At 41.5% G+C, this 12,168-nt stretch overlaps 1 long non-coding RNA gene across 1 annotated transcript in view; it reads right to left on the minus strand.

The window, feature by feature from the left end:
- The window catches only part of LETR1 (lymphatic endothelial transcriptional regulator lncRNA 1), a 47,813-nt gene extending 35,931 nt beyond the window's left edge, over positions 1–11,882 (minus strand). Inside the window, exon 1 of the long non-coding RNA NR_034095.1 lies at positions 11,612–11,882. This is a non-coding gene — a long non-coding RNA (lymphatic endothelial transcriptional regulator lncRNA 1). The remainder of the gene's footprint in view (positions 1–11,611) is intronic.
- Positions 11,883–12,168: the final 286 nt, after the last annotated feature.

Here is a 12,168-nt window from a genome sequence, read left to right on the forward strand (position 1 = left end):
GAAGCAGAAGCACCTTCAGAAGATTATGCTACCGAGAGCTGATGTTATCCAAAAATTAGAAAATTACCCTTTTCCCAGCCTCTACAATCATCCAAATTGGCCTCTAATCATTAGAAAGAGATATTTGGAAATCAACATGGAGTTAGTTATTATTCGTACATTTAACAAATACTAAGCTTCTAGTCATAGCAAGCATTTTCTAAGTACTAAGCACACATTGGTGACAAAACAGGCCAGTCAAGTGCTATCAGGCTTATAGGTTTAGGAAAGAGATATACAAATAAGTTTCAAAATGTAATCTCAGCACTCTTGGAGGCTGAGGCAGGCGGATCACTTGAGGTCAGGAGTTCAAGACCAGCCTGGTCAACATGGTGGAACCATGTATTTACTAAGAATACAAAAATTAGTCAGTGTGAGGTGCATGCCTGTAATCTCAGCTACTCAGGAGGCTGAGGCAGGAGAATCGCTTGAACCTGGGAGGTGGGGGTTGCAGTGAACCAAGATCAGGCCACTGCACTCCAGCCTGGGTGACAGAGAGAGACTATGTCTCAAAAAAAAAAAAAATGTATAGTTGAAAGTAGTAAGTACTAGACAACATAATATGTAATAGCCCAAAACTGGAAGCAATTTAAATGACTACCAATGAATGAATAAAAAAGCAAATGTGGTATATCCATACAATAAAATTTATATGGAAATAAAAAAGGAATGAAGTACTGGTATGTGTTATCACTTATAAAATGGATGTGAAAATATGATGTTAAGTGAAAGAAGCTAGCCACAAAATACCACGTATTATATGGTTCCATTTATATAAAATGTTCAGAAAGGCAAATCTATAGAGATAAGAAGTCGATTAGTGATTGTTTGGGTCTAGTGGGGAATGAAGAGTGACTCCAAATGGCCATGAGGGAAATGTTCTAAAATTGAGTTGTGGTGATGGCTGCATATCTCAGTAAATTTATGAAAATATAAAAACATCAGATGTTTGCTTAAAACAGATGAATTTTATGGTAAATAAATAATACCTCAATAAAGTGGTTAAAATATCTAAAAATCAATTAAGCCAATAAACCCATAAATTATTACTTGAAAAATAATGATTATTGCTCTAAAGGAATAAAAGACCGGGGAGTTACGAAGGATTAGTACACATAGGTGTGTGTCTCCTTAAGCAAGGTGGCCAGTGAAGGTTTTGCAGAGGCAATACCATTTAATGGGGTGTCTGAATGGAGAGAAAGAGCCACTCACAAGAACTGACATGGGAAGAGACTACTAGAGAGAAGGACCAGCTTGCACAAATGTCCTGGGGTAGGAAATACTTTGGTTTTTGGGAGGAACTCCAAGAAAACCTGTGTGAGGGATAATGATGTTCTATCGGGCCATATGCTCTCGGATAAGGAGCTCGGATTCTGTCCTCAATGTAGTAGCAATCCACTGTGGAGCTTGGAGCAGCAGAGCTATATGCTTTATTTCTTTATATTAATCTGGGATTGAAAAGGAAAGAGGGAAAGTTGGAAAATCAGAACAGATGCCATTCCATGGCCCAGGCGATAGGATGTCAGAAGTAAAGATGGGTAGAAATAGACGGATGTGATTTTTATGTTTGAGATGGACCTCATCAGGACTGCTTTGAGATGAGGACTCTAAGGAGCGAGGTAGAGAGCAGAATGGGATATGACTCCCATATTCTAGATAAATCAGGTCGGTGAATTTGCTAACATGAGGATGATTGAGGTAGAACCAGGTTTGGGAGGTGGGAGAATCAAGAGTCTCATTTTAGATACATTAGGTTTAAATGCCTATGAAACCAACAGAAGAGTGATGGAGCAGACAATTGAAATGTAGGATTGCAAAGGAGACTGAGGAGTAGTAACCAGAGGGGCCAAGGAAAACTCAGGACAGTGTGATAACACAGAGTTCTAGAAAAGAGAGACTTGTGAGAAAGTGGAGGATGCCCAGTGCTGCTGCTCTGTTGGGTAAGAAGAGGACTGGCAGATGGAGGTCAGTGCACCTGACAAATGCAGTTTCTACAGGATGATGGTGGAAGCCACACTGGACCAGGTCAAGGTGTGACAGGAGTGAGGATGTGAAGGATGTACATGGAGATAACTCAAAATTCTGTCTGTAAAGAAAAGCTAAGGGCGAGGCAATTTTAGGGACATGAGTTGTAAGGAGTGTTCGTTTATCAGCTGAGATTAGATTTGGCTGCAAGTGATAGAAAAATATAACAACAGCTTACACTAGGTAGGTGTCTATTTTTCTCTCCCATTGATAATGTTAAGAGGTAAGAAGTCCAGAGCTGCTATGGTGGCTCCCCAAACAATGGGGGCCAAGATCTTTCTCTCTCACAGCTCTGCCAACATCAGTATAGGAGGAAGTGATGAAGGGCTCAGATCCCTGCACTGAGGATGCTTCCAAGAGCTTGAAATACTGCATGTGTTTACTCATTCACACGGCCTCACCTAGCTGCAAGAGAAGCTGGGGAACATTGCCCGTTCCAGGTGTTCATGGACCCAGACAGAAGCATAGATTCTTGTACCGAGAGAAGGAAACAATGGATATTGGAGGTCAACTATCATCTTTTGCCAAATTAGAAGTCAGCTATCATCTTTTGGGCTTGAGTTTTGTTTGTTTGGTTTAGGTGTTTATACTGCCTAGTGTGTACACTGATCCAGTAAAGAAGGTACATTAGATGCAGGAGAGTCATGACCCAAAGTCTACAGAATTCTTCAGAAGGATGAGAGGATAAGATCTTAAAAAACAAAACAAAAAAAAACCCTGACCTTTGAAAACAGAAGCCACCTTTCATCAGTTGTAATCTTGAAGGAAAAAAGACGGTGTGGATATAGGTGAGTTAAAAAATTTAAAAATATTTAGAAAATGAAGTGAAAGATGAGGGATTTCTCAATTGATGGCATTTACTTTCCAAGTGAAAGTTGAGGCAAGGTCAGTTTAGTGTAAGCCACTGGTTTGAGTAGGGAGAAGACACTGTCTTGGAGACTCAATTCAATAGGGAGACTTTTTAAAGCTGCAGGACAGTGGTGAGAGTCCACTAGAGACATTAAGATTTTATTCTGTTTGTTTGTTTGTTTGTTTGTTTGTTTTGAGATGGAGTCTCACTCTTGTCGCCCAGGCTGGAGTGCAATGGTGTGATCTCGGCTCACTGCAACCTCCTCCTCCCAGGCACAAGCAATTCTCCTGCCTCAGCCTCCTGAATAGCTGGGATTACATCCACACACCATCATTCCCAGCCAAGATTTTATTCTTTCTAGTGAAACCAAGATTAGCCGGGATCAGCCACAATTAGCCAAGCGAAGCTGCCAGCACAGGTGTGGAGAAGGAACACAGTGGTGCTAATCCAAGGTTGGGGTTCGGCAAGGCAAGTACTAAGAAAGACTAGAAAGTGCCAAGTTGTTACAGAAACTTGCAAGGAAATAATTTTAATCATCATTATCATCAATCAGTTCCAATAACAACTGTTTTTTATTGAACACTTCATTTGCATAGGGCATTTTTGACTTATAAGAATTGCCATTTTATAGCTTCACTTTATTTTTTAGCTTTCACAGTTAATGGAATATATTACTATACATGGAAAATTGTTCCTAATTTAAGCCCATTTCCCCAAATGTTATTACTTTTACCCCTGAAGAAAAATAATCTTGCCACTTCCTCTTCATCATTTCATACTCCTGTCACCTTGTACCTTCTTCCTCTGTAGAACAATTTACTGAACATAGCTCAGATTCTATTGCTTATATCATTCATATTCCTCTTCTCTGAACTCCCTAGAAGTTCTCCGCCCCTCTTTGAAGTGTGGGACCAAATCTGAATGCCGAAGGCCAGCTGAATGAATAAGGGAAAATCATCCCTTATTTAATTTACTCTCCAAAGGATAATGGTAGAGGCTTCATTTATACAATGTGTCATGAAAGGAAAGGTGGGGAAAGATGAAAGGGTAGCTCCACAATCTCAAATGTTCCCATTATGATGCAGGTCGGGTGGCCCTTAATAAGCTGCTTGAGGGCTTATTTGTATTTCTAGTGGCATTTCATTCTCTTGAAGGGGTTTTGCTGGGAGACTAGATTCCCAGGTCAACATACCTAGATGAAAACAAATGCTGTTATCGATACCAAAATCCGTTCAGTGCTGTTTTGCTGAATTTCATATTTACATTGAGTCAATTATTAAGTAAACATGTGAGAGAACGTAAAAATTCCTTTCAGTGTTACTCTATGGGAAAAGTCACCCAAGTTGCAAAATGTGATTTATACTCATGTTGCATTAAAGGAGGCAGTAGATGGGCTGAATTGGAGGACTCCTGGCCTTTAATTGCCTTATTCCGAGAGTGTCTTCCCATGATATCTTGAACTGTCTCCTTTTTTTTTTTTTTAATTTCTACTTTTATTTTATTGTGGTAAGAACACTTAACATGAAATCTACCCTTTAACAGATGTTTAAGTGTACCTTACAATATTTTAACTATCGGTACAATGCTACACAGTAGATCACCAGAAATTATTCATCTTGCATAACTGAAACCTTATACCTATTGATTACCAACTCTCCATCTCTCCCTCCCCACAGGCCCTGGCAGCTACCATTCTACTCTCAGCCTCTAAGAGTTTGCCTATTTTAAACATCTCAAATGAGTGGAAACATGCAGTATTTGTCCCTTGCGACTAGTTTATTTCACCTAATATAATGTCCTCAAGTATCATCCGTGTTGAGTGGAAAATACAAACTCGTTTTCTCTATTGTCTCACGACATGCTTCTGACACCACACACTGGGGTGGTTTTCCCCACACATCAAGCAAGCAATCAATTCTACAGCAGACATCAGCCGGGCACCCTGCAATTCAACTCTGACGTGATCTACCTGGAGACTGCCTCATATCCCACAGGTTGAGGGTTCCATCTCATGAGACTGCCTCCACTTCAGATGTTAATCACAAGCCCCAGGTTGTTTCACCTGTGCTTCTGATTGGCCAGCTATAAATCGGGATTTATAGCCAGTGACCCCCTCCCTGGGTCTGATTAATTTACAAGAGTGGCTCACAGAACACAGGAAAACACTTACATTTACGGGTTTATTATTCAAGGATACCGCGAGGGTTGCATATGAAAAAAAAAAGTCATAGGGCAAGATATGGGGGAAGGTGTGCAGAGCTTCCATTCTCTTTCTGGGCACACCATCCCCCAGGAGCCTCCAGCTTGCCCAGGTTTCCAGAAGCTATCCACACCCAGTCCTTTATGGTAATTTCATTACCTCATGACTGGTTATATCACTGGTCATTGGTGACCAACTTCACCTTCAGCCCCTCTCTTCTCCTAGGTGGTTGAAGGATGGATTTAAAAGTCCCAACCTTCTAATTCTCTCTTCATCTTTGCAGTGTTAAGTCCCATCCTGAAGCTATTAGGGACTGCCAGCCATTAGTCAAGCCTCAAGCATACAAAAACACACTTTTCTCTTTGGCGATTCCAAGAATTTTAGGAGTTATATGCCAGGAAGTGGGGACCAAGACCAAATATATATTTCATAATATCACATATTGTCACATATTTTAGGAGTTCCTTCTTTTCTTTAGGCTGAATAATATCCCATAGTAGGTACATACCACATTTTATGTATACATTTATCTGCTGATGGACATTTCACTGGCTTCTACATCTCAGCTATTGTAAATAATGCTTCAATGACATGGGAGTATACCTTTGTGATCTTGATTTTAATTCTTTTGGATAAATACCAAAGTGAGATAGCTGAATCATATGGCAGTCCAATTTTTACATTTTCTAGAAACCTTCATACTGTTTTCCATAGTGGCTATACAACTTGGCATTCTTACCAACAGTGTTCAAGGGTTCCAGTTGCTCTACATCCCTCAACACTTGTCATTTGTTTTTTTGAAAATGGCTATCCTAACAAGTATGAGGTACTATCTCTTTATGGCTTTGATTTGCATTTTTTATGATAAGTGATGCTAAGCATCTTGTTTTTCATATACCTGTTGGCCATTTATATGTCTTCTTGGGAGAAATGTCTTTGCAATCCATAGCTCATTTAAACAATTGGCTATCATTATTATCATTATTTTGCTATTTAGTCATATAAGCTCTTTGTATACTCTTGGCATTAATCCCCTGTTGGATGAATAGTTTGCAAATATTTTCTCCCATTCTGTAGGTTGCCTTTTCACTCTGTTGACTATTTCCTTTGCTGTGCAAAAGCTTTTGTTCCCCTTTGCCTACTTTTGGTTTTTTTGCTTGTGCTTTTGGCGTCATATCTATGAAATCATTTCCAAGACCAATGTCATGACATTTCCCCCCTCTATTTTCTTCTAGGAGTTTTACAGATTCAGGTCTTTAGCCCATTTTGAGTTAACTTCTGTGTATGGTATAAGATATAGGTACACTATCATTCTTTTGCATGTGGATGTCCACTTGTCCCAACACTATTTGTTGAAAAGACAATACTTTCCCATTGTGTGTTATTGACACCCTTGCCGAGTTGACCACAAATACATGGATTTATTTCTGTGCTCTCTATTCTATTCTATTCTATTGCTCTATATTTCTGTCTGGACTTCTTCAATTTTTAATTCCTGTTACACTACTCTATCATCAATTTCCTGGGAACCGTAAGAACTACTAAAACCTTTGCTTGTTTTGTTTGGTGATTCAATTTGTTATTGGGATAAAAGTATATTTCAAACTATTTCTGTAAGAACAGAATCTCAAAATACAAATGTTATTTTGTATATTATTTACAAATTCCCAGGCTATGAGCTTAATTTATGGTCATCTGCAAAAGGTAGAAAACAAGGTTTTGAGTTGAGTCTCAACTTGCCTGTCACTAAATTGTACAGAATAGATGGTAAGATGGATTCCTTGTGAGACATAACTTTGCAAGCCCCCAGGCAGGAAATTCACCCACTAGGACTTGGGAGTCACCCAAGTTGTATTTGTGCATCCCTTAAAAAGCAAGACTGGGCCGGGCATGGTGGCTCACGCCTGTAATCCCAGCACTTTGGGAGGCTGAGGCGGGCGAATCACCTGAGGTCAGGAGTTCGAGACCAGCCTGACCAACATGCAGAAACTCCGTCTCTACTAAAAATATAAAATTAGCCAGGTGTGGTGGTACATGCCTGTAATCCCAGCTACTCAGGAGGCCGAGGCAAGAGAATCACTTGAACACGGGAGGCAGAGGTGTGGTGAGCCTAGATCATGCCATTGCACTCCAGCCTGGGCAACAAGAGTGAAACTTTGTCTCAAGACAAAAAAAAAAAAAAAAAGATTGCAAGACTTCCCTTTCCCTAGGCTCATCAAAAAAGTAATTAAAGTAAGTGTATGTAGCCGGGTGTGGTGGCTCACGCCTGTACTCTCAACACTTTGGGAGGCTGAGGTTGGCGGATCACCCTTAAGTCAAGAGTTAGAGACCAGTCTGGCCAACATGGTGAAACCCCATCTCTACTAAAAATACAAAAATTAGCCAGGCACAGTGATGCACACCTGTAGTCCCAGCTACTCGGGAGGCTGAGGTAGGAGAATTGCTTGAACCTGTGAGGCGGAGGCTGCAGTGAGCTGAGATTGCACCATTGCACTACAGCCTGGGTGACAGAGCAAGACAATCTCTCAAAAAAAAAAGTATATGTATAAAATATGTGTATATAAGTGCGTATACAGATATACCATATATAATTTATATATATATATAAATACATACATATCTTATGTATGTACATTTATAAATATCTGTAAATGCAAAGAGGCTCCAGATTTACCTTTTGAATAAAATCCAGAGTCACTACTATCTTAATTTTTGCATGAGTTATCTGCAAAGCAAATGAGAAGTAACTAACAATTTATTTAAATAGAAAGAAAATCCCCTCTGCTATTTATTATAAAACACTTCATTAATTTATCACCGGAGTTATTGTCTCAAACTCACTAATGTCTTCTCTGGGCTACTTTTCATAGATTATTTCTTGTACATTTGCAAGACGTTACTGAGTCCCAGGCAATGTCCCAGATGATCAGGGCATTTGTGGTACCTGGTATTTGGCTTCTATACCATGCTCTATAGACTAGATGGGGTGTGTCAAGGAAAGGATGTCTCCATTTGCCTTTGTCCTTAAGAAAGTGAGTAACTGTCTCTTTCCTTGCCTATTTCTTCCATGGAGAATTTACTGGCCCCAATTTAAAAAAAAAAAAACTCCTACCACACTCCCATTTTCTGTAAGTGCAATTAGTTGCAGGTACAAAATTTGGAGCAAAGAGGCCTCTCGTGGCCTGTTGTGCCTGCAGTTATCCAACTGTGGCTGCAGTTTTTCAGTGCACAACTGATTGCACCCACAAAAAGAAAGGCTAAACTTTGAAAATGGGTCCCTTTAAGACAGTTGGGGGATTGCATGCCTCCGGTTGGCAAATTGCAATCTTTTATAGAGGCACAGCCATCACTCTGGCTCGCACTGCCAGTCTGAAATCCAGGTTAGGCATCTTGCATGAGGGAGAGACCTGGCTGGAGAGCAGGTGCACAGGACTCTCTCCTCTCCGCCCACCACTTGCCCCCCTTTCACCTTGAGCTACTCATGGACTATGCATTAGTATTCAGCATTCCTGACTCCATCTCCTGTTTAGTTCACCAGTCACTCTCCAAAAGGGTTTGCAGAGAGAAGCTCAGTCGGTCACACTGTCAATATAACACATTTAACCAACTCTAAATTTGCTTTAAAGAGACAGCTACCAAGATTGACTTTTGCAAAGTGACTCACTCCACCACGCGGCAAAGCCGTCCGTTTGCTCTCGACTGTTAAGTGTGTCACTGAGTACATAAGAAAGGGTTTTGAAGGAATTCCAGTGTGAATCCACTAATTCAATAATCCAATACCATAAATTCAAGTAATGGATATTAATACTATGTTCAAAACACGCTCACAACTTTGATATCTCTCTTTCTCAAACAGACAGAGCATGCGTCGTGAGAGGCTCCTGATGAAATAATAAAACCCAATTTTCATCTAGAAACAAGAATCATTATAGGAGGATGGTAATTTACTTTATATGACCTTCAATTGATTATTCTGTGGCTGCCACACAAATATCACAGGAGCTATTGATCGTAAAACCTACCAAATAGATCTCTAATAGCTTTTACTGGGCAAAAATAATTATGCTTGCACTGTGGTCAAACACACATAAACCAATGTGGAGGTATTAATATATGGCATTATTACCCATCTGTCTGCTAGGCATGGAGAAGACCCTTCACGGGAACACTCTATGTCTAAGCTCCATGAAAGCTCAATATCCAAGCCAACAATTACAGCCAGTTACACAGAAAAATTGATTACCGTAACTAAAAGCTAGAGCTGGAGAGTAGAGGCTGCAGCTTGCTTAAGAAAAGTAAAATAATAACAAGAGAAATCCTAATTGAGGGGGAGTCCTGCTGCAGTGACTACCAGGACTCAGAAATTGCATTTCCCTGTGGTGTCAGCAGCCGAGTAACTTTTCAGAGTCAAGAGCTTTCTATCCAGCCTAGATCATGATCAATGATCAACACTCGTAAAAGGTCAGGGTGTCTAATCAAAGACCAGATCATCTATCTCTCAAGGTAAAGCGTACAACATAATCCAGAAATGTGGCGCTGCTGGCCATGGAGAGTGAGAAAATCCAAGGGAAAGAGAAACTTCAGTTCCACTTTGGTGAACAGGAAGAATGTTCTGCTCATACAAAATGTGCAGCCAGCCTTCTGCGGGCGATCCTCAGTGGCTCAGGTGGGCCTGAAGGGGATGAACAAAGGCCACGCTCTGAAGGGGGAGCTTCTCCAACATGCTGGGCTTCCAGGTTCTGATAAAAACATTTTAGACTTCAAAATGTCACAGCAAGTCTATCACTTGCTCTCCAATTCCCGAAACTCAGTATTTTAAAAAATAATATGTAAATATAAATGCACCAACAGCAAATAACAAAAATCCCAAACTGCTATCGAGGTGTTAAAATGAGGAGTGATACATTTTAACAACCAGAATGAATACACTAAAATGCTAATAGAACTGAGTAGTGGAAAAGAAACAAAAAGAGAGATCTTGTTTACCCAATGTGGGTTCTGTGCATATGCTTGAGTGGAGAGGGGAGACAACTGTGGGATGGGGGCATAAGTATATCCTGTGAAACAGAACAGAATACTATCCCAGGAATCCCGTTCATATATCTCATGAAATAGAATCAAATAATATCTCATGTAGCCCATGAAACAGAACAGGATTGGAATGCACAGCTGGATGGCTGCACATGCCAAGGATTGGAAAGGTTTTCCCAAAATACCTATGTCTAACCCCAAAGTGCTTCTGCCTCCACCACACCCCAGACCAATCAAACCAGAGTATTAATTTTGGCATTTGTATTTCTTAAAACAAAAAACAAAAGCCTATGTGAATCTCACATGAAGACAGGTTTGAGAACCACTAACTTTAAAGGGAGAGACCCTTTTTAGGGAAGGGAGGTCCTTAGAGATGAGGAACCTCCGGTTTCCCAAGGGCACCTCTCCTTCTTCTGCAGAAATACAGCTCGCCTGTTTATTTCTCTTCCTTTTTGGCATTAGCAGTTCCAGTTGTTAAAGGCAGGAAAACTGGAGTCATTGTCTCTCTCTTTTTCATGATTTATGACTCAGAAGCAAGACAGGGGCAGGAGGTTGGAGGGTAATGCTTGCGGCTGTGGTTGCTGTTATTTTTATTTTGTATTTTTCTTAAAGAAAATAAAAGAAATATGCTTTTCTGAAAAATCTTGAAGCCTTGAAGCCACCTGCAGGGCTGTTGTTTTCCAAGGCCTTGCACTTACGTAATTGACATCTACATAGACACACTCCTGGAACATATCGGGGGAGGCAGGCATTCTGCTTGTTCTCATTTGTTCTCAAATTACATGATAAAATACATGTTTTGGACCTTTTAAACCAAAGGGAGTTATTGAGCCCGCTTACAAAATCCATAACATGTTAGCAGGACTTATCTAGCTGCCTCCACAGAATAGCCAAGCAACTCTACACCCGCTTTAGCCCCCACAAAAACAAGCGGATTGCACTACAAATAATTTGCCTATTTGGAAAATGAAAGCTTCTCTGTAGTTTGAGGTCCTATTTTTTCTTTAAGTTGTTACAGTCTTTTCATGGTCCTTGAGGTCTAGGTTAGGTTTTTGTTTGGGGTAATTTTTGTATCCTATGGATACTATTTAATCTTTAGTATTGAGTCAGTATTTCTCACTTAGGCCTTAGGGGAATACTGCCTGAAGTATGTAGGGGGCATGCGGAATTCAGACGTGGCTTGGAAACTGCACCATGGGTTCACCCAAGAAACAGACCAGAGGCAACACATTCTATCACTAAAACGTGTTCTCAGTTACACTTCCCTTCCAAAGGTAAGCATCTTAATTCTTCAACTTTTTAAGAGGCTAAACCCAGTGAGGGCCCGTATGTCCACAAATAGATGACACACCCATCCAAAGCACGCGTGTGTATTAAGGGACAGCGTGTCCTCCCACGTTCCAGCCGCCCCCCTGGCTGCCAGCCGCGGGCTCAGCGCACGTACGGTCCCTGTCACCCGAGCGTACCTGTCCCGTTCTGGCCTTGGAGAACGCAGTGGCTCACAAGGGCACCGCTAGCACGCGAGGCGCGGCGAAGGGAGCGGAGGGAAGCGGCGGGCTGTCGCGCAGGTGCGGCCCCACCTGCCGCCGGATTGGCCGCGGCGGCTGCGGCGCTCCGCGGGAGGAGGGCGGATGATGGATGGCCTGTCTGCCGGCCCGGGTCCGAGCCGCGGGGGCCGCCGAGGGAAAGACGGGCGCGCGCGCGCCGCTCCGTGCCCAGCGCAGACAGCGAGATGCCTGCACAAAAGGATGGGGCTTGGAATGTTTGGATTTTGAAGATTAGTTTCTATTATATCTCTGTGGGAGAAAGGAAAACGCGCTATGGGAAAGTGGAGGGCGAAGAACCCCCGAATAATTTCGGACTGATGTTTCACAAATCATTTCGCCAGGGAACAACCCGCGAGCCTCCCCTTCCCAAATGGCAAACAGTTCAGAAGTCTTATTTGTCATGTATGTGAATGATGCCCTATCAGTATCTGAGAAACAACAGGAAATCAGACCTGAACAGTTGCATCCCCTTATCT

Source organism: Homo sapiens, chromosome 15 (genome assembly GCF_000001405.40).
Source record: "Homo sapiens chromosome 15, GRCh38.p14 Primary Assembly".
Lineage (NCBI taxonomy): Eukaryota > Metazoa > Chordata > Mammalia > Primates > Hominidae > Homo > Homo sapiens.